This window comes from Homo sapiens, chromosome 7 (assembly GCF_000001405.40).
Source record: "Homo sapiens chromosome 7, GRCh38.p14 Primary Assembly".
NCBI classification, from domain to species: Eukaryota; Metazoa; Chordata; class Mammalia; order Primates; family Hominidae; genus Homo; species Homo sapiens.
In genome coordinates, this window is record NC_000007.14 from 101,361,336 (window position 1) to 101,381,922 (window position 20,587).

At 50.0% G+C, this 20,587-nt stretch overlaps 1 protein-coding gene across 5 annotated transcripts in view, besides 2 other annotated features; it reads left to right on the forward strand.

Annotated features, from left to right (window-relative positions):
• COL26A1 (collagen type XXVI alpha 1 chain) overlaps positions 1,053-20,587 on the forward strand; it is a 196,637-nt gene continuing 177,102 nt past the window's right edge. For 4 of the 5 annotated variants that reach the window (NM_001278563.3, XM_017011743.2, NM_133457.5 and 1 more), the window contains exon 1: positions 1,540-1,855. In NM_001278563.3, coding sequence (NP_001265492.1) covers positions 1,698-1,855 — 158 coding nt within the window. In that variant the 5' untranslated portion in view covers positions 1,540-1,697. Of the gene's footprint in view, positions 1,332-1,539; positions 1,856-20,587 lie in introns of those variants that run through there. The other variant, XM_017011744.2, reaches the window with a different exon arrangement.
• Positions 2,674-2,913: a silencer, noted in NCBI's record as "silent region_18484". NCBI's record gives its function as "represses an Ori minimal core promoter by ATAC-STARR-seq in GM12878 lymphoblastoid cells {active_cell/tissue: GM12878}" and the evidence as "EXISTENCE:reporter gene assay evidence [ECO:0000049][PMID:35858748]".
• Positions 11,284-11,822: an enhancer, noted in NCBI's record as "H3K27ac-H3K4me1 hESC enhancer chr7:101015900-101016438 (GRCh37/hg19 assembly coordinates)". NCBI's record gives its function as "activates a minimal SCP1, AML or CMV promoter by ChIP-STARR-seq in naive H9 embryonic stem cells {active_cell/tissue: H9 hESC(naive)}" and the evidence as "EXISTENCE:reporter gene assay evidence [ECO:0000049][PMID:30033119]".

The window sequence follows — 20,587 nt, forward strand, 5'->3', positions numbered from 1 at the left end:
TTCCATATTTGATGGTTTTTCTCCATCCTGTAGGCATTTTACAGACAGGAGTTTTCAACTGGTCACAGGGGCAGAGCAAGCCTCAGGGCATCTGCACCCTTAGGTTGCTTTTGGAAGAATTAGGAAAAAAGCTCCCAGGCCGGGCTAGGTGGCTCACACCTGTAATCCCAGCACTTTGGGAGGCGGAGGTGGGTGAATCACCTGAGGTCAGGAGTTCGAAACCAGCCTGGCCAACATGGCGAAACCCCGTCTCTACTAAAAATACAAAAATTAACCCGAAATGGTATTGCTTGCCTGTAATCCCAGCTACTCGGGAGGCTGAGGCAGAAGAATCACTTGAACCCGGGAGGCAGAGGTTGCAGTGAGCCGAGATCGCACCACTGCACTCCAGCCTGGGTGACAGAGCGAGACTCCAACTCAAAAAAAAAAAAAAAAGAAAAAGAAAAAAAAAAAAAGGAACAAAATGCTCCTAACCCGGGCGAGTAGAGTACGGGCTGGATTTCTGGTCCCACCTGGGCCTGGAGCAGGGTCCAAGCCCTATGGGAATCCTGCAACATAGAAAAGACCAAAACTTGGGTCCAGGCTGGCCTTGGGCCCAGCATGGGATCTAGGACTCTGCTTTTCTGTTTATAAAAGGTGGGATTGTCCTACATCTTCCTGAAGCCCTTTTCTGGATAGGATGTCTCATGAATCTGTGATTCTAGCTACAACTTTTTTCTTTTTTTGAGATGGAGCCTCACCTTGTCATCCAGGCTGGAGGCCAGTGGCCTGATATTGGCTCACTGCACCCTCCGCCTCCTGAGTTCAAGTGATTGGCTTGCCTCAGCCCAGCCTGTAGTTGAGATTACAGGCACCTGCCACCACACTAGGCTAATTTTTGTATTTTTAGTAGAGACGAGGTTTCACCATGTTGGCCAGGCTGGTCTCGAACTCCTGACCTCAGGTGATCCGCCCACCTCGGCCTCCCAATCTAGCTACAACTTCTCACCCCAACTGACCCTTCCGCCCCTCCCAAAGCTTCTTACCTGGAAGAGACAGCGGGGCAGGTGGGGGCTGGAGGTTAAAGGGGAAGGAGGAGAATCCTGGGAAGCTCTGGTCAGTTTCTCACGGGAACGCAGCGCTTTGATCCAAAGAGCCCTGCACAAGGATCGGAAGACTCGCATTTGTCTGGCTTAACTTTCTCCAGCCTCAGTTTCCACTTCTGAATGGGACCATCGAGGGCAGTGTGGCGAGGATTCACCAACATCGTCCAGGTGAAATTGGCAGACACAGAATGGGCGCTCCGAAAGCATTCGCGGACCCGAAGAAGGTTTGGTTTCAAAGGTTCTAAGGTGTGTAGCGGGGGCCTGGGCGCGAGGTCTGGCTTTCGGGGTGTTAGGCTCCAGGGACCTCCTGCGGAGCTCGCACCCTAGCTCTGCCGCCACTGCCGCCTCCTCGGCCCCGGACCGCCGAGGGTTAACAAAAAAGCCCCACGCCCCCTTTGACGGCTTAGAGCCCACCTCGCCGAATTTGAAAAGGCGGCCCCGGAGAGGCGTGGGCGCCCCCCACACATTTCCAGCTCGCACCCGGGCTCCGACCGCTCGCCCCGCTCCTCTCGCTGTGCTCCCGGCCGGTGCCGCGGGTTCGGTCCGGGCGCCGGTGCGCTCCTGCCGGTCCTCGTGCCCGGGACTCCGGGTCCCCGCGGGCTGCTGCGCACGATGAAGCTGGCCCTGCTCCTGCCCTGGGCGTGTTGCTGCCTCTGCGGGTCGGCGCTGGCCACCGGCTTCCTCTATCCCTTCTCGGCCGCAGCTCTGCAGCAGCACGGCTACCCCGAGCCCGGCGCCGGCTCCCCTGGCAGCGGCTACGCGAGCCGCCGGTGAGTAGCTCGGGGCCGAGGGGCCGGGGGGTGGGGGGAGGGAGCGGACAGCGGGGGCCCTGGCCACTGGGTGGCTGGAGCGAGGCTTGGGGGCTGGAGAGCGGGGCGATCCGGGACTTGGGGGCGCAGGGCAGCGGGGACTGGGGGCTGCAGACACCGGGCAGCTGGAACGAGAGCTGGAGGGGGTTGGGGTGCGGGGCGATTCGGGCCTGGGGGCGCGGGGTGGCGGATGCCAGGGGCAGGGGACACGGGGCAACTGGGACGAAATGGCGGTGGCTGGGGGTTGGGGTCACGGGGGGAAAGACCGAAGGGCCTTGGGTGCAGGGCGATTGGGGGCTGGGGCGCGGGGCGGCGGGGGTTGGGGGCTGCAGACGGGGCAGCTGGAACGAGCGATGGAGGAGGCTGGGGGTTGGGGCCGCGGGGCTGCGGGGCTGCGGGGTTGCGGGGGCTGAAGGTTCGGGTCCGGCTCCGGGGCTGCGGTGGTCTCTGGCCGCGCCCACCCTGTCCCTTCCTTTCTTCGCTTCCCCAACCTTCGCCCCCTCGTTCCGGGCTCCGAGTAGAGGTGGTTCCGACCGCCGTGGCTGGGGCTGGGGCTCTGCCCGGGGCGTTCGGCCGCTCACGTGGCTCTGCCGCTCACCTGCGCGGCTGCGGCTTTGTGTCGCGGAGCAGGTTCTCGGGTGGCCAAGGCCTCGCGTCCCGGGCACCCCTCTCCTATCAGCGGCCCCAGGACACCAGAGGGGTCATTCCCGCCCAGTCTTTGGGGCTGAGGCCGCGGAGGATCCTCGGCTGCGACTCCCCAGCCACCCCGGGACGTGGAACCGGCTGGGATCGGGTGGCTCCGTGGCGGGGTTGGAGAGGGCGCAGGGTCACCGGGCCCGGGCGCCGGGACCCGCCAGGCGTCTCCTTCCTCTCGGCCGGCAGGTGGCGCCATGGCCACCCCCGGGACGCTCAGGGCTGCGGCTCCGGAGCCCGCATTTGAATTTCCCCAGAAAACCATAAGCATGCAAGTAAAAGTTGCCAAACGCCTCGTTTGCATAACTCGCTTGAATTTAGCTTTTCTCATTTAGTGATAACTACAACCTACACAGCTATGACAGCGCTCTGGAATGCACTACCTGTGTCTGTTCCCTCCGTCTCTTTTTTATATTTTAATTTTTTTTTTTTGCAGAGGCAGAATCTCAACTCTGTTGCCCAGGCTTGTCGCAAACTCCTGGGCTCAAGCGATCCTCCCGCCTTGGCCTCCCAATCTCCATTTCTTTTGATCCTTAACAACCCTAGGGTTAAAACATTAGAGTAGTATCTTTCCTTTAGCTGAAGAAACAGAGGCTCAGGATTTGCTAGGCCTAGGAGCCACTCAGGACTGACCTCTTGTGCTTTCTTTCTTTTTTTTTTTTTTTTAATATAGGGTCTTGCTTGCTCCCCAGGCTGGAATGCAGTGGTGCGATCATAGCTCACTGCAAACCTGATCTCCCAGGCTCAAGTGATCCCCCGACCTTGGCCTCCTGTGTAGCTGAGATCACAGGTGTACACCATCATGACTGGCTAATTTTTTGATTTTTTGTAGAGGTGGGATCTCACTGTGTTACACATGCTGGTCTCAAACTTCTGGCCTCAAGAGATCCTCCTGCCTCGGCCTCCCAAAATGCTGGGATTACAGGCGTGAGCCACCACGCCAGGCCCAGATCTGGTGTTTTCTAGCATACTGCTCTGCCTATCAAAGCTAAAAGACAGCTCCTAGTTCTTTTTTTCTCCTTGATATTTACCAAATCAGAGGACTCCAAGATGATTTCTGGCTAATTCCTTAATAACAAGGAGACAGGGATGTTTCATGCTGGGAAGAAATATACAGTCATGGCTGAATAGGGCGGGACCCAGAAAAGCATAAAAGTGCCTCTGGAAAAGTTTGTATGCAATCCTATTTCTCTCATTTTGTTTGGAAATACTTACCCGGGGCTTCTATGAGGAGCATTCTCCAAACACCCACGCTAGTGTGGCCTCTGCACAGTTCCATATGAGGATTGTCTAAAAAACAAGCTTTTCAAGTTACAGAATAATATATACAGCACGATTTCATTTATGAAAAGGAAAATCAGATCTACATCTAGGTAGATAAATGCCTGAAAAAAGTTTCTAGGAAACCATTTCAGCAGTTAATGTTATGAAGAAGTCTAGGGCTGGGCCAGGGGACTGTCCCATTTTCCCTCTGTCTGCTTGTGGCTTGTCTGAATGTTTTTCTGGTTTCTGTGTTTTTTTTGAGACAGAGTCTCGCTCTGTCTCCCAGGCTGGAGTGCAATGGTGCAATCTTGGCTTACTGCAACCTCTGCCTCCCAAGTTCAAGTGATTCTCCTGCCTCAGCCTCCCAAGTAGCTGGGATTACAGGTGCCCACCACTGCGCCTGGCTAATTTTTGTATTGTTGGCCAATAAAAAATGTAACGTTGGCCAGGCTGGTCTCAAACTCCTGGCCTCAAATGATCTGCCTGCCTCAGCCTCCCGAAGTGCTGGGATCACAGGCATGAGCCACTGTGCTTGGTCCCTAAGAGAACCTACTGGCCGGTACGGGGATTGAATGGATGTTTTGCAAGGAGCGTATATTCATGTAATACTTTTGTAATTAAAAGGTGTGGGAAGGAAAAAAAAAAAGGTGTTTGCAGCCTGAAATACGCCTGCAAAAAAGCAAGAGGTGAGGACCATGAAGAGCGGGAGCGAATGGGGACCTCATTCTGGCATTTGGTGGGTTGGAACTTGGGGACATCTGCAGAAACTTGGAAGGGATCATTTTAGCACAAACAAAAAGAGGCTCAAACAAGTGTGGAATCTTCCAGAACTCTTTCCACCAGGATAAGAACAGGGAGAGGATATAATTAGGTTTAGGGAGGATGTGGATGAATCTGTGGGCAATGGATTCCTAAAAAGGATACCAGAAGGTGTTGGGGAGGCTTGGGGCACATTGATATTCCAGAGTGTGACTGAGTCTCTTTGCCCAGAAAGCCCAGCGTGGGCATTGCAGGCACCTGGTTGTTGCCTGGGTGAGTTACAGGCTGGAGCTGGCTTGGGCGTCACATGTTTCTGTGTCTCATGAGCTATCTATCACAAGTGTCCCTTGTCCTTGAGATCCAAGATGTCCAGAAGCTGAAGGCTTGGGGACAGCAGTGGTCCTTGCAGCCTTGGCCTTCAGTAGTGTGTTTACCGGGGCTTGGCTTCAGTTGACAGGCAATGATGACAGGGCTGTTTCTTGACAAAGAGTGCTTTAATTTCATTGTTACTGCTCCTTGTTAACGTCTGATTTTTTTTTTTTTTTTTTTTTTTTTTTTTTTTTTTTTTTTTTTAAAGACAGGGTCTTGCTCTGTCACCCAGGCAGGAGCGTAATGGTGCAATCATAGCTCACTGCAGCCTCGACCTCCTGGGTTCAAGCAATCCTCCCACCTCAGCCTCCTAAGTAGTTGGGACCATAGGCATGGGCCACCATGGCTGGCTAACTTTTAAATTTTTCATAGAGGTGGGGTCCTGCTATGTTGCCCAGGGTGGTCTTGAACTCCTGGCTTCAAGTAATCCTTCAGCTTTGGCCTCCCGAAGTGTTGGAATTACAGGTGTGAGCCACTGTGCCTGGCCAAAAAGCAGTTTTTAATTGTTAGTTTGTTCAAATCAGGATCTAAATAAGTCTGCTTATTGGTTATTCTGTCTTTTCTCTCCCTTTTAGTGTAGGAAAGTCTTCCCCCTTTGAGAGAGTACTTTTTCCTCCACGCTGTTGACTTGTTGAAGACCAGTTGTTCTCTGCGATGTCCACGTACTAGATTTAGCTATTTCCTTCCCAGTGGTGTAGTTAACTTGATCTGCAATGTCCACGTACTAGTTTTGACTAATTGCTTCCCAGTGGTGTAATTAATTGGATCCTCTGCCCCCTGTATCTCTTCTATTTTGGAAGTTAGGTTGGAAGGTTTGATTAGATTTATGGTCTCTATTTGGGCTTGCTGGGAGAGACAGAAATTCTTCATAGGTGGTCTAGTCTACCATATTATATCAGGAGATGCTCTGGACTGATGTGTGTGTCCCCACCAAATTCATATGTTGAAGCCCTATCCTCCAATGTGGTGGTATTTGGAGGGGGGACCTTTGGAGGTAACTAGATTTAGATGAAGTTGTGAGGGCTGTGCCCCATTATTTGATTAGGGATGTTATAAGAACAGGAAGAGAGGCCAGGTGCGGTGGCTCATGCCTGTAATCTCAGCACTTTGGGAGGCCCAGGTGGGTGGATCACCTGAGGTCAGGAGTTTGAGACCAGTCTGGCCAACATGGTGAAAACCCGTGTCTACTAAAAATACAAAAATTAGCCGGGCGTGGTGGTGCACACCGGTAGTCCCAGCTACTTGGGAGGCTGAGGCACTAAAATCGCTTAAGCCCGGGAGGCGGAGGGTACAATGAGCTGAGATCATGCCACTGCACTCCAGCCTGGGCAACAGAGTGAGACTCTGTCTCAAAAAAGAAAAAAAAAAAAAAAAAGAAGAAGAGAAATCAGAGCTCTCTCTCTTTGCCATGTGAGGACACAGCACAGCAAGAAGGTGGCTGTCTGCAAACCAGAAAGAGAACCCTCACCAGGAACTGAATCTGCCAGCACCTTGATCTTAGACTTCCCAGCCTCCAGGGCTATGAGAAATAAATGTCTGCTACTTAAGCCATTCAGTCTGTGGTATTCTGTTACGGCAACCTTGAGCTGACTAACAGAAGGATGTGGCTTTATTCTGGAAAGCTGGGTGTTAAATATTCAGCAGAACACCACTGTCTACAAGTCTCCTCCACTGTCTCCCTTCTTTTTGTTGCAATTTATTTGTTGAAGAAACTTGGCCTTCTAGATTGTTCCTTTTTCAGGATTTTGTTGGTTATATGCTCATGGTGCCTGTGAACATGTTCATCTGTCCTCTTTATTTCCAGATAATGGGAAATTAGATCAAGAGCTTGGTTGGATCTAGTTCTTCCTCCTCCTTCGTTTTCTATTTTGGCAGAATTACATCTTGGGTGCTGTAGTGTTTTTCCATTGGAAATCACAACGTCTGGTTGTCTCTCTTTTTCTCTCGTGATGCTTGAGGTGTTGGTGATCATTGCGTATGTCATTCTTTCATTAAGGATCGCAAAGTGGATGCAAGACAGGCAGGCCCCCAAATTGGGGCTTAGCCAGGAGGGTTCTTGGCTTCACCCAGGAAAGAATTCAAGGGTGAGTGGGTGGTTTCAGACAGCAACTTTAATTGATGTGGCAGTGTACAGCTGCAGCAGAGGTCCTGCTCCTTGCAGAGCAGGGATACCCCATAGGCAGTGTGCCCAGACTAGCAGCTCAGAGGCAGTTTGGCACTATTTATACTTACTTTTAACTATATGCAAATTAAGGGGCAGTTTATGCAGGAATTTCTAGGATGAAGGTGGTAACTTCTAGGTTGTTGGGTTGTTGCCATGGAAAGGCATGGTAACTTCCGGGTGTTGCCCTGGCAAATGGTAACTGACATGGTGCCCTGGTGAGTGAGTCTTATGGGGATGTGCTTCGTCCTAACCTGTTTTAGCTAGTCCTCAATTTGGTCCGGTGTCAACCCCAACCTCCAGAGTCAAGTCCCGCCTCCTACTTCAAAGTAGTACTATAATTTTGACTCTTTTTAAAATTCGTAATTGCTAGAATACTTATAATTTCCCCCTTATTTACTATTTGTAGGTAGAAAAAACTCACTCAAAATCTGGCTCTTTCCAAAAAAAAAAATTCTTTTTGCAAATGTAAGCAATTTGTGTGTGTATGTGTGTGTGTGAGCGTAACAGTGTGTATGAGTATGTGTGTGTTTGTGTCTGTATCCTCCTCCTTTTCTTACACAGAGGTAATATGCTAGTTACTCTGTCTTCAACTTGGCCTTTTTCCATCATAACGTGTTGTGGAGATGGCTCTATCAAAAAGCAAAGATGGGGGGGCATGATGACTCACGCCTGTCATCCCAGCACTTTGGGAGGCCAAGGTGGGTGGATCGCTTGAGGTCAGGAGTTCGAGACCAGCCTGGCCAACATGGTGAAACCCCTTCTCTACTAAGAATACAAAAATTAGCTGGGCATGGTGGCGCATGCCTGTAATCCCAGCTACTTAGGAGGCTGAGGCAGGAGAATTGCTTGAACCCAGGAGGTGGAGGTTGCAGTGAGCTGAGATCACGTCACTGCACTCCAGCCTGGGTGACAGAGCAAGACTCAGTCTTAAATAAATAAATAAATAAAGCAAAGGTAATCTGCATCTTTTTTTTTTTTTTTTTTTTTTTGAGACAGAGTCTCGCTCTGTCGCCCAGGCTGGAGTGCAGTGGCGCAATCTCGGCTCACTGCAAGCTCTGCCTCCCGGGTTCAGGCCATTCTCCTGCCTCAGCCTTCTGAGTAGCTGGGACTATAATCACCCGCCACCACACCCGGCTAATATTTTTGTATTTTTTTTTAGTAGAGTTCTGCATCCATTTTTATGGGTCTGTTGTTCTGTACAGTGTGAGTGACTGTATTTATTCAGCTAGTCCTCTACTGATAGACACTTGTGTTGGTAAATGGCAAACACATGTTTAATTCTGCTAGATAGCGTCAAGTTTCCCTCCACTGGGGTTACAGCATTTTGCATTCCCATCAGCAGTTTCTTCTTGGGGTACATTTTGAAGAGTCCATTTTATTTTATTTTATTTATTTGTTTTTTGAGATGGAGTTTCGCTCTTGTTGCCCATGCTGGAGTGCAATGGCATGATCTCGGCTCACCGCAACTTCCGCCTCCCAGGTTCAAGCGATTCTCCTGCTTCAGCCTCCGTAGTAGCTGGGATTACAGGCATGTGCCATCATGCCTGGCTAATTTTGTATTTTTTGTAGAGATGGGTTTCTCCATGTTGGTCAGGCTGGTCTCAAACTCCCGACTTCAGGTGATCCACCCGCCTCAGCCTCCCAAAGTGCTGGGATTACAGGCATGAACCACCGCGCCTGGCCTGAAGAGGACATTTTAAATGATGCTGGTTGATATGGCCTTTCAGGGGTAAGAATAGACTTCCCTGATCTTATAGCACCTGCAAGTCCTGGCCACCCCTAACCTTTTTGGGGCTTGGGGCAAGACTAAAGATGAAGACCATTCACCATTTGGCTAGATATTTAAAAGTATAAAATCAAGCTGACACACTGTTTGTTTTGTTGTTGTTGTTTGTTTTGTTTTTGTTTTTTGAGACGGAGTCTGGCTCTGTTGCCCAGGCTGGAGTGCAGTGGCACGATCTTAGCTCACTGCAACCTCCGCTTCCCAGGTTGAAGCGATTCTCCTGCCTCAGCCTTCCGACTAGCTGGTATTACAGGCATGCACCACCATGCCTGGCTAATTTTTTGTATTTTTAGAAGAGATGGGGTTTTGTCATGTTGGCCAGGCTGGTCTCGAACTCCTGACCTCAGGTTATCTGCCCACCTCATCCTCCCAAAGTGCTGGGATTACAGGCATGAGCCACTGCACCCTGCCCACCTTTCCTTCATCTATACCTGCTGCTTCAAACTCTCTCTGTCTCTGAATTCACTTTCTTGTGGTTTCGTCTAAGCCAAAGTGCTTGGTGTGTCCCCTCCTCACTCAAAATGCCTCCCTCTTACCTTGACTCCCCCCTCTTTTGGTAGAACCACAAGCACCCTTCCTCCAGGAAGTCTCTCTGGATTTACCTCCCAGCTTTCTGTTCATCTCATTTGTGGGTAGCCCCTGCACCTGTGATTTGTGGGTAGCCCCTGCATCTGTGATTGTGGTTTTGGTTCTAGAACTCACTTCCCCAGTTTCCCTCCTTGCAGATGGAGTCATTTCTCCTTCCTCATTTACTCCCTACAGGAGTGGCTCTGAGCAGCCGTCCTTGGGCAAGCGTGCATGAGCTGGAGCTTAGCCCTGCCCACCACCCACCACTGCCTCTTGGAAATGTGAGCCGCTCCAGGTCAGGCATTTAATCACCTTGCATTCACTGAGCCCACGTGTAGGTAGGGTAGAGGCTGGGGACTCAAACGTGAAGGCAGGGGGCTGTGCCTGGTGGCCTGCATGGAGGAAGAGCTCAGCAGACTCTGGGGAAGTGGATGATCACATCCATGGGGACTTGTCCCTCCGACTGGATTGCATGCCTCTGCAGTGTTGGACCCCTGCCTTTGCTCTCTGGTTCCCTACATTCAAGAATTGGCAACTGTGATTAGCTATGGTGCCTCATGCCTTTAATCCCAGCACTTTGGGAGACCGAGGTGGGAGGATCACTTGAGCCCAGGAGTTTGAGACCAGCTGGGACAACATAGCCAGACCCTGTCTCTGTAAAAAAAAAAAAAATTAAAAAATTAGCTGGGTGTGGTGGTGCACACTTGTAGTCCTGGTGGAAGCTGAGGTAGGAGGATCACTTGAGCCCAGGAGTTTGAGACCAGCCCGGGAAATATAGTCAGACCCTGTCTTTGCAAAAAAAAAACTTTAAAAAATTAGTTGGGCATGGTGGTGCACACTTGTAGTCCCAGGTATTTGGGAGGCTAAGGTGGGAAGAACGCTTGAACCCAGGAAGTTGAAGCTGCAGTGAGCTATGATTACACCACTGCGCTCCAGCCTGGGTGACAGAGTGAGACCCTGTCTCTGGGGCAGTGAGATGTTTCAGACCCAGCCTCCGTCCTTGATGAGCTCAGAGACTGGTTGGGGAAAACAGATCCATGAGCAAGAGTGGAATTTGGTGTGATACAAATGTGTGCAAAGTGAGCTAGGGGAGTTAGGGTTTGTGGGAGCCTGGGAGTCTTTGTGCCTCAGTTTTCTCATCTGTAAAATGGGAATGACTTCAGTACTTCATTAAGTTGTTCTGGGGCTTACATGGGTTAATATTAATAATGTTCTTAGGAAAAAGGATAGTAAACCCTCTGTTCATGAATGTGACCGTGGACTGCATTCATATGCCTTGCAAAGGTTGCAAGGACGGGGGAGTTCCACAAATATATGAAGCCTTGGAATCTTTTTCTGGGGAGCATTTTGTTTTTTGAGACGGAGTCTGGCTGTGTTGCCCAGGCTGGAGTGCAGTGGTGCGATCTTGGCTCACTGCAACCTCCGCCTCCAGGGTTCAAGCGATTGTCCTGCCCCAGCCTCCCAAGTAGCTGGGATTACAGGCGCCCACCAACATGCCAGGCTAAGTTTTGTATTTTTAGTAGAGCTGGGGTTTCTCCACGTTGGCCAGGTCTTGAACTCCTGACGTCAAGTGATCCATCTGCCTTGGCCTCCCAAAGTGCTGGGATTATAGGTGTGAGCCACCGCACCTGGCCTTCTGGGGAGCATTTTGTTAGGATTGTGTTCCTGACCACATACTTAGGGAAATGTTCTAGTGGATAGAGACTAAATGTTGAGGACTTCTCAGAGGAGTCAACATAGGAGGTGGGTTTTGTAGGATGAACAGGAGAGCTTGAGGCAGTGACTGGGGCATTCTGGGCAGACAGACAACTGTGTAAAGGCTTGGAAGTGTCATTAGCTATTGCCTGACATATAGTTAGTGGGACTGAGTTCAGAGTGGCTGGACTAATGGGATGTGGTGGCTCATGCCTGTAATCCCAGCACTTTGGGAGGCCAAGGTGGGAGGATTGCTTGAGCTCAGGAGTTCAAGACCAGCCTGGGCAACACAGCAAGACCCCGTCTCTACCAAAAATAAAAAATTAGCCAGGTGTGGTGGAACACACCTGTAGTCTCAGCTACTCAGGAGACTGAGGTGGGAGGATTGCTTGAGCCCAGGAGTTTGAGGCCGCAGTGAACTATGATCGTGCCACTGCACTCCAATCAGGGTGACAGAGCAAGAGCAGACCATGGGCTTGGGCAGGCAGAGGACAGGCACTGAGCTTTTGGAGTCTGGATGTGAAGTCTCCTTCCTGCCACCTTGAGGAGCTTGCCTTCATAGTCTGGGCTTTGTCACAGTCAGGCTTGTGCCAACTTTGCTGGTCGGGGAGAGGCTGGCAGAGGAAGGATAGTGGAAGGAGGGAGGCCAGTTAGGAGGTAGTTGATGGATGGAGCAGGGGAGAAGGGAGTGCTCAGAGCTAGCAGGACCTGGCCCCTTGGTGGATCACGGATAGGCAGAGACAGGCTACAGGCCTGAGCTCCTGGCTGTCTCCAGTGCCTGGGGGACACCAAGGAGCCTGCTGCTTTGCTTCTCAGAACATTGCAAATTTTTTGCAGCACTTTCTTGGTTTGCAATGGCAGCAAAGCAGAGTTCAAACATCTTGCATTTTTGTGAAATACTTTTATTTTTCCTGCATGGAGTTTTCAACCCCAAATTTCAGCATCTCCTGGACTTGCACGGATCAGGTGCTCAAGGAAAGTTTGTTGAGTGAATGAATGAACACATGAATGAATGAACAAATACCTTGACCTTTCTCCTTTGGGACACCGAGGCAGTGCCTCTGCCTCAGTGCACGTTTGCAGTTCTGAGGGATCCTGGAGCGAGGTCCCTTTCTCTGCACAGGCCAGCTCCTGAAGCTGCTTTTAGGGGAACCATGGAGACTCCAGCTTTAGAGGTCCCGCTTCTCCCTTTGAAGTGTGAGCACATAGAGGAGGGAGACTTTTCCTGAGAATCACACAGAATGGCTTTGATGTTAATATCAGTGAGACCTTGTCCTCAAGCTCCAGGATTTTCTGAATCTTCCCTCTCTTCATCTCACTCCCCTCTTCCCCCAGCTCATCTGTTATTTTAAAATCCATTCCCAGAGAAACAATTCCTATGGCAATAAGAGCACTCCTCCAGGCTTCTCTTGGCTCGAACTCGTGTGACACTTCATTGCCACTTCCAGAGTGTGTGAGCTGGACCCGGACCAATTCAGCCTGGGGCAGGGGAAAAGAGCAACAATAACTAACTGTTAGAGGATTTTCGGGAATGTTAGCACAAAGTGCTCCGGGAATTCTGCAGACAATCCTACGGAAACATACACATGCCGTGCTGTTCTGCCCTCCGAGTTGTCAGGGGTCCCTGGCCTTCCCAGCCTGGCCTTGTCTCTACCTGCCTCCCAGAAACCAGGGTCTAGAGCTTCTCTTCGGAGTCCTGTAACAGACTACCCTGAAACAAGCTGGACTGAGTCCAGGTTAATTCTGAAATACTGGAGGAGAGCGGTGTGCGTTCTGGCCCCCTGCATCTCCTTGTTTGCCCCACCCCTAACTACCTCCAGAGTGATCTATGTAAAGCAGGAGTCCCCAACCCTGAGGTCACAGACAAGTACCGGTTCAAGACCAGTTCAAGGAACCGGGCCGCACAGCAGGAGGTGAGTGATAGGCGAAAAAGCCTGAAGCTTCATCTCTACAGCTGCTGCCCTCGCTCGCATTACTGCCTTAGCTCTGCCTCCTGTCAGACCAGCAGCGGCAGTAGATTTTCATAGGAGCTCCAGCCCTGTTGTAAACTGCACAGGCGAGGGATCTAGGTTATGCACTTTTATGAGAATCTGATGTCTGATGATCTGTCATTGTCTCCCATCACCCCCAGATGGGACCGTCTAGTTGCAGGAAAACAAGCTCAGGGCTCCCATTGATTCTACATGATGGTGAGTAGTAGGATTATTTCATTATATATTACAATGTCATAATAATAGAAATAAAGTGCACAGGCCAGACACGGTGGCTCACGCCTGTAATCCCAACACTTTGGGAGGCCAAGGCGGGCAGATCATCTGAGGTCATGATGGAGTTTGAGACCGGCCTGGCCAACATGGTGAAACCCTGTCTCCAATAAAAATACAAAGAATTAGCCAGGTGTGTTGGCGGGCACCTGTAATTCCAGCTACTTGGGAGGCTGAGGCAGGAGAATCGCTTGACCTGTGAAGCGGAGGTTGCAGTGAGCCGAGATCACACCACTGCACTCCAGCCTGGGTGACAGAGTAAGACTCCATCTTAAAAAAAAATTTTTTTTAAATAAATAAAAAAAAAGAGGAAGGCTGTGAAGAGTAGGATCTGGAACCAGGCTGCCTGAGTCTGAGTCCAGGTTCTGTGTGGCCCTGACTAAGTTGCCTGCCCTCTCTATGCCTCAGTCACCTCATCTATAAAATGGGTATGATTAGAGTGTTTCCTTCATAAGGTCATTCTGGGGCTTATGCAAGTTAATATTAATCAAGCGCTTAGAACAATGTCTAGTATGTGCTCTAGGAGGCCATATGAAAGGATAAAGGCTTCTCTCAGATGGTGTAGTGTGCTGATGGGGACTTGGCAAAGCTTGGGAAGATGATGGATTTCACAAACATAGGAAGCATGGCTGGGCACAGTGGCTCACACCTATAATCCCAGCACTTTGGGAGGCCAAGGCATGAGGATCACTTGAGACCAGGAGTTCGAGACCAGCCCGGGCAACATAGCGAAATCCCCTGTCTACAAAAAAATAAAATAAAAATTAGCCAGGTGTGGTAGGGCACACTTGCAATCTCAGCTACTTGGGAGGGGAGGCTGAGGCAGGAGGATTGCTTGAGCCCAGGAGTGTGAGACCAGCCTGGGCAACATAGCAAGACCCCATATCTACAGAAGAAAGAAAGAAAGAAAAAGAAAATTGGCCAGGCACGGTGGCTCACGCTTGTAATCCCAGCACTTTGGGAGGCTGAGGTGGGCAGATCACGAGGTCAGGAGATCCAGACCATCCTGGCTAACACGGTGAAACCCTGTCTCTACTAAAAATAAAAAAATTGGCTGGGTGTGGTGGCGGGTGCCTGTAGTCCCACCTACTTGGGAGGCTGAGGCAGGAGAATGGCATGAACCCGGGAGGCGGTGCTTGCAGTGAGCCAAGATCGCGCCACTGCACTCCAGCCTGGGCGAAAGAGTGAGACTCCATCTCAAAGAAAAAAAAAAAAAAAAAGAAAATTAGCCAGGCACGGTGATGTGTGATTGTAGTCCCAGCTACTTGGGAGAGGAGGCTGAGGTGGGAGGATCACTTGAGCCCAGAAGCATGAGCCCAGCCTTGGCAATATAGCAAGACCCTGTATCTACAAAAAAAAAAAAAAAAGAATAGAAACTAGCCAGGTGTGGTGTTGAATGCTTATAGTCCCAGCTACCTGGGAGGGGAGGCTGAGGCGGCAGGATCACTTGAGCCGAGGAGGTGGAGGCTATGATTAAGTCACTGCACTCCAGTGTGGGTGACAGAGTGAGACCCTGTCTCAAAAAAAGTCTCAAAAATATCCTCCCCAAAACAAAACAACAAACATATGAGGCCACAGAATCCTTTTCTAGGGTGCCTTTTGCCAGGGTGGTGTCTTTCAGACTGCACACCCTGTGAGATGCTGTTGTGGATGGGGGCTAAATGCTGAGGACTTCCTAGAGGAGTCTCCATTCAAAGCAGGTCTTGTAGGATGAGCAAAATGTCCTGATAGGTTTCCGGTGCTCTCCCAGAGCTGGTCCTAAGCCTGCTCACTGGGGTCGTTTCGGACCTTCTCCTGTAGCTGAGCCCACCCTTGCTGCTGCAGGGGAGCCGGAGAAAACAGAAGCTGTAATCCTGATGGTTTTTCCTTGTCTCTTAGGACCCTGCTCAGGTTTTCAAGACCAGAGTGAGGGGTGTGGGCCTATCTGCACTCCCAGCTGAACCTCAGCCACTTTGGGCGTCAGTGCAGAGGATCATCCCCAGATGTGATTGAGGAGCAGATGGGAGGGATCGGAGGGTGCTCAGATGCCTGTGGTGAGGACTGAGGCTGAGGATTTATTTTCTTTATTTTATTTTCTTTATTTATTTTTTGAGGCAGAGTCTGGCTCTGTCACCCAGACTAGAGTGCAGTGGCGTGATCTTAGCTCACTGCAATCTCTGCCTCCTGGCTTCAAGTGATTCTCCTGCCTCAGTCTCCCGAGTAGCTGTGATTATAGGTACCTGCCACCACACCTGGCTAACTGTTGTATGTTTAGTAGAGATAGAGTTTTACCATGTTTGCCAGGCTGGTCTCAAACTCCTGACCTCAGGTGATCCGCCTGCCTCGGCCTCGCAAAGTGCTGGGATTACAGGCCTGAGCCACTGTGCCTGGCCTTCTTTTCTTTTTTCTTTTTTCCTTTTAAATAGAGATGGGGGTGTCACTATGTTGTCCAGGTCAGTCTCAACCTCCTGGCCTCAAGTGATCCTCCCACCTTGGCATCCCAAAGTGCTGGGATTACAGGCATGAGTCACTGTGCCCGGCTGAGGATTTCTGATGAGCTTCATGTCCCAGACAGTGTGAGAGCAGAAGGGACCTGGGGAGGCCCTAAGGTTGGGGGGAAAGGGCTTTTTCTGCCTTGTCTCATGCAGCCAGCCTGCAGTGACTCACTTTTTTTTTGGAGCCAGGGTCTCACTCTGTTGTTCAGGCTGGAATGCAGTGATGTGATCACATAGCTCACTGCAGCCTTGACTGTCTGGACTCAAGTGATCCTTCCACCTTAGCCTCTCGAGTAGGTGGAACTATAGGCATGCACTACCATGCCTGTATCATTTTGGTATTTTTTGTAAAGACTGGGTCTTGCAACGTTGCCCAAGCTGGTCTTGAACTCCTGGGCTCAAGCGATTCTCCTCCCTCAGCCTCCCAAAGTGCTGGAATTACAGGTAGGAGCTACTATGACCAGCAGTGACTTACTTCTGAAGGACCCACAGTTAAGCCAGCAACTTCCCTTCATTGCTTTAGTCCCTCATCAGTGAACAAAACAAAATAGGTTGGAATCAAATGAGGAAATGTGTTTAGTAGATAGGCTGACTGATCATTGCTGTTCATTTGAATGAGGGCTCCATCTATCCTTTTTTAAATTTTAATTTTTTTACATTTTAGAGACAGGGTCTTGCTCTGTCACCAAGGCTAGAGAGCGGTGGCACAATCACAGGTCACTGCAGCCTCCACCTCTCGGACTCAGGTGATCCTCGTGCTTCAGCCTCCTGAGTAGCTTGGACTACAGGTGTGCACCAGCATGTCTGGCTAATTTATCATTTAAAAATTTTTTGGGGGGCTGGGCCTGGTGGCTCAAACCTGTAATCCCAGCACTTTGGGAGACTGGGGCAGGTGGATCACCTTAGGTAAGGAGTTCGAGACCAGCCTGGTCAACATGTTGAAACCCTGTCTCTACTAAAAATACAAAAATTAGCTGGGTGTGGTGGTGCATGGCTGTAATCCCAGCTACTTGGTATTGGCTCTGTTTCTCCATAGGCTGTGAGGCAGGGATTTAACTTAGTTTTTTACTCAAACCGCCCTCACACTTTTATTGAATAACCCATTCTTCCTTGCTAATTTGAAATGCCACTTTTATCATATACTAAATTTCCCTATATGCATGAAGCAGGAGAATCGCTTGAACCGGGGAGGCAGAGGTTGCAGTGAGCTGAGATTATGCCGTTGCACTCCAGTTTGGGCGACAGAGCAAGACTCCATCTAAAACAAAAAAAATTTTTTTTTGTACAGACAGTGTTTCCCTATGTCACCCAGGCTGGTCTCGAACTCCTGGCTTCAAGCGATCCTCCAGACTTGGGGGCTGGGGACACCAAGACCGGTGGGGGGACAGACATTTGCTCTGCATGTGTGTAAGCTGTTTGCACTCATGACTGAGTGGTGGTTTGCAGCCTAAATATTATCTGTCTTTGTTTGCAAGAATTTGATCTCCCACCCCCTTTCTTGTTCTGGAAATGCAAGGACTCTGCGGCATTTGTCCGAGAATCTCCGACAGTTCCCAGCCCCTTGGAGGATGTCCCCTGCTTGGAGTCTTTATGATCGGCTCAGACTTTTCTTTTCCCCGGGGAGTTGTCCCTGGATCAGGGTTTGTTGCAGGATGTCTGCGGCTGTGCGGCCCCTGGAGGCGACCAGGCCTGCCAAACACTCACTGGAGTCTCACTTGGGCTTCCCCAGCCCCCGTAGTTACGAAGCCTTTGAGAGAAGGTAGCAGTTTCCTTCTGATTTGGCTCCGGCTGTCTGCGCCCCAGCCAGTTGCCTCTGGCTTCTGACATTTTTGTCATTCCTGCTCTTCTGGGAGGGTTTATCTCCCTTCCTGGCCTCCTTTGATTGACTTGGCCACACGGCTGATGCTTGGGCTCCAAGAAGTCTTGGCCTGCCCCGGGCACCCATTTCTGCCGTGATGTGATCCTGGCTGGCTGCAGGATTTGCCAGCCTCTTCCCATCTTTTGTTCTGCGACTGATGACAATTAGACCCTGAAACGCTTCACACAGGGACTCTGAACATGTGTGTCTACCAGGGCAGGAGTGGAGCAGGCAGGTGAGCCTCTGCATCAGGGGCTCGGAGGGAGCCCCGTCCTGGCTCTGCCTGATGGGAGAAGACCTGGCTGTGCTCCTGGTCTCTCTTGGTGCTCTGCTCACCATTGCCTGCCTTTCACCCTCCAGATCCTTCCTGCCTCTCACCCTCCAGATCCTTCCTGCCTCAGGGCCTTTGCACAGATTGTTGCCCCTGCCTTTGTCAGAGGTGCGTGAACCACAGCAGCTACATCATGAATACAGGTTGGGTAAAATGAGGCTGAGGCCTACTGGGCTACTTACCCAGATGGTTATGGCATTCTAAGTCACAGGGCGAGATAGGAGGTCAGCACAAGATCATAAAGACCTTGCTGATAAAACAGGTTGCAGTAAAAAAGCCGGCCAAAACCCACCAAAACCAAGATGGAGATGAGAGTGACCTCTGGTCGTCCTCACTGTTACACTCCCACCAGCGCCATAACAGTTTGCAAATGCCTTGGCAATGTCAGGAAGTTACCTTTTATGGTCTAAAAAGGGAAGGCATGAATAATCCACCCCTTGTTTAGCATATCATCAAGAAATAATCATAAAAATGGGCAACCAGCGGCCCTTAGGGCTGCTCTGTCTATGGAGTAGCCATTCTCTATTCCTTTACTTACTTACTTTCTTTTTTTTCTTTTTGAGACGGAGTCTCACTCTGTTGCCCAGTCAGGAGTGCAGTGGTGCGATCTCGGCTCACTGCAACCTCTGCCTCCCGGGTTTAAGTGATCCTTCTGCCTCAGCATCCCGAGTAGCTGGCACTACAGGTGCCTGCCACCATAGCTGGCTAATTTTTGTATTTTTAGTAGTGATGGGGTTTCACTATATTGGCCAGGCTGGTCTCGAACTCCTGACTTTATGATCCACCTGCCTCAGCCTCCCAAAGTGCTGGGATTACAGGCGTAAGCTACTGCACCCAGCTACATTTTTTTTTTTTTTTTTTTTTGAAACAGAGTCTCTCTCTGTCGCCCAGACTGGAGTGCAGTGGCGCTATCTTGGCTACTGCAACCTCTGCCTTTCAGGTTCAAGCAATTCTCATCCCTCAGCCTCCCAAGTAGCTGGGACTACAGGCACGCACTACCACGCCTGGCTAATTTTTTATATTTTAATAGAGACGAGGGTTTCACCATGTTGCCCAGGTTGGTCTTGAATTCCTGAGCTTAGCCAATCCACCCACCTTAGCCTCCCTCCTTTACCTTCTTAATAAATTTGTTTTTACTTTACTCTATGGACTTGCCCCAAATTCTTTCTCACACAAGATCTCAGAACTGTCTCTTGGGGTCTGGATCAGGACCCCTTTCTGGCCACACCCTGATCAGTCTTTGTGACTTTTGGCCTAGGTAACTCCTGCCCAGACTTTAGAGATCAGCTTAAACATCACATCTTCAGGGACCCTTTACTTGCCCTTCAGGATAATATCAGGTTCCTTTGTTAAAAGCTCTTAGAGCTAGCTCTCTAACTTAGAGGCTTATGACAACAGTGAGTAAATTCCATAACTAACGAATTGATAATTCATGAGTGGTTATCTTCCCAGAGATGGCAAATTCTCCCAGGGCAGTGGTCCTGTCTGGTTTTCTTCTGTAGCTCTAGGTTCTAGGTTGTTCTCTGTCATCCTTGCCTGGATTACAGAGGGTGCTTGGGAAATGACCAACCTCTTTGCAAGCTGTGTTAGATTCGTTTTGCTGCTGTAACAAATTACCACAAATTTAGTGACTTAAAATAATACCAGTTCATTATCTTACAGTTCTTGAGATCAGAAGTCCAAAATAGCTCTCACTGGGCTAAAATCAAGGTATTTACAGGGCTGGTCTTTTTGGAGGCTCTGGGAAAGAACCTATTTCCATGCCTTTTCCAGCTTCTAGAATTTATCAGCATTCCTTGACTTGTACCTCCTTCCTCTATCTCCAAAGGGCATTACTCCAACCTTTCTTTCTGATACCTCCTTTCTCTCTGACTTTGATCTTCCTGCCTCTCTCTTGTATGGACCTTTTAGATTAGGTTGGGCTCATCTGGATACCCCCTCAACTTCAGTATGCTTAATTTAATCATCAAGTCCCTTTAACCATGTGTCTTAGTTCCTTTTGTGCTGCTGGAATAGAAAAGCACAGACTGGATAATTTATAATGTATGAAAATTTATTGGCTCATGGCTCTGGAGGCTGGGAAGTCCAAAAGCCAGGGGCTGGTATCTGGCAAAGGCTGTGTCATTTTATGGTGGAAGGGCAAAGAGAGGGAGAGAAAGAGCGAGAGATTAAACTCTAAGCCTCAAGCCCTTTTACAATCCGTATAATCTATTCGTGAGGGTGGAGCTTTTATGACCTAAACATCTTCCATTAGGCCCCACCTCCCAACACTGTTGCACTGGGGATTAAGTTTCTAATGTGTGCTTTGTGGGGGACACATTCAAACCATAGCACTGCATAAGATAACATTTTCTCAGGTTTCAGGGATTAGAAAGAGGACGTCCCTGGGGGAGATATTATTTGGCCAAACACACAAACGGAGATGAAAAGGGAAAGATGTGCCAGATACTGGGGAGCCTTGGAGGGTTGCACT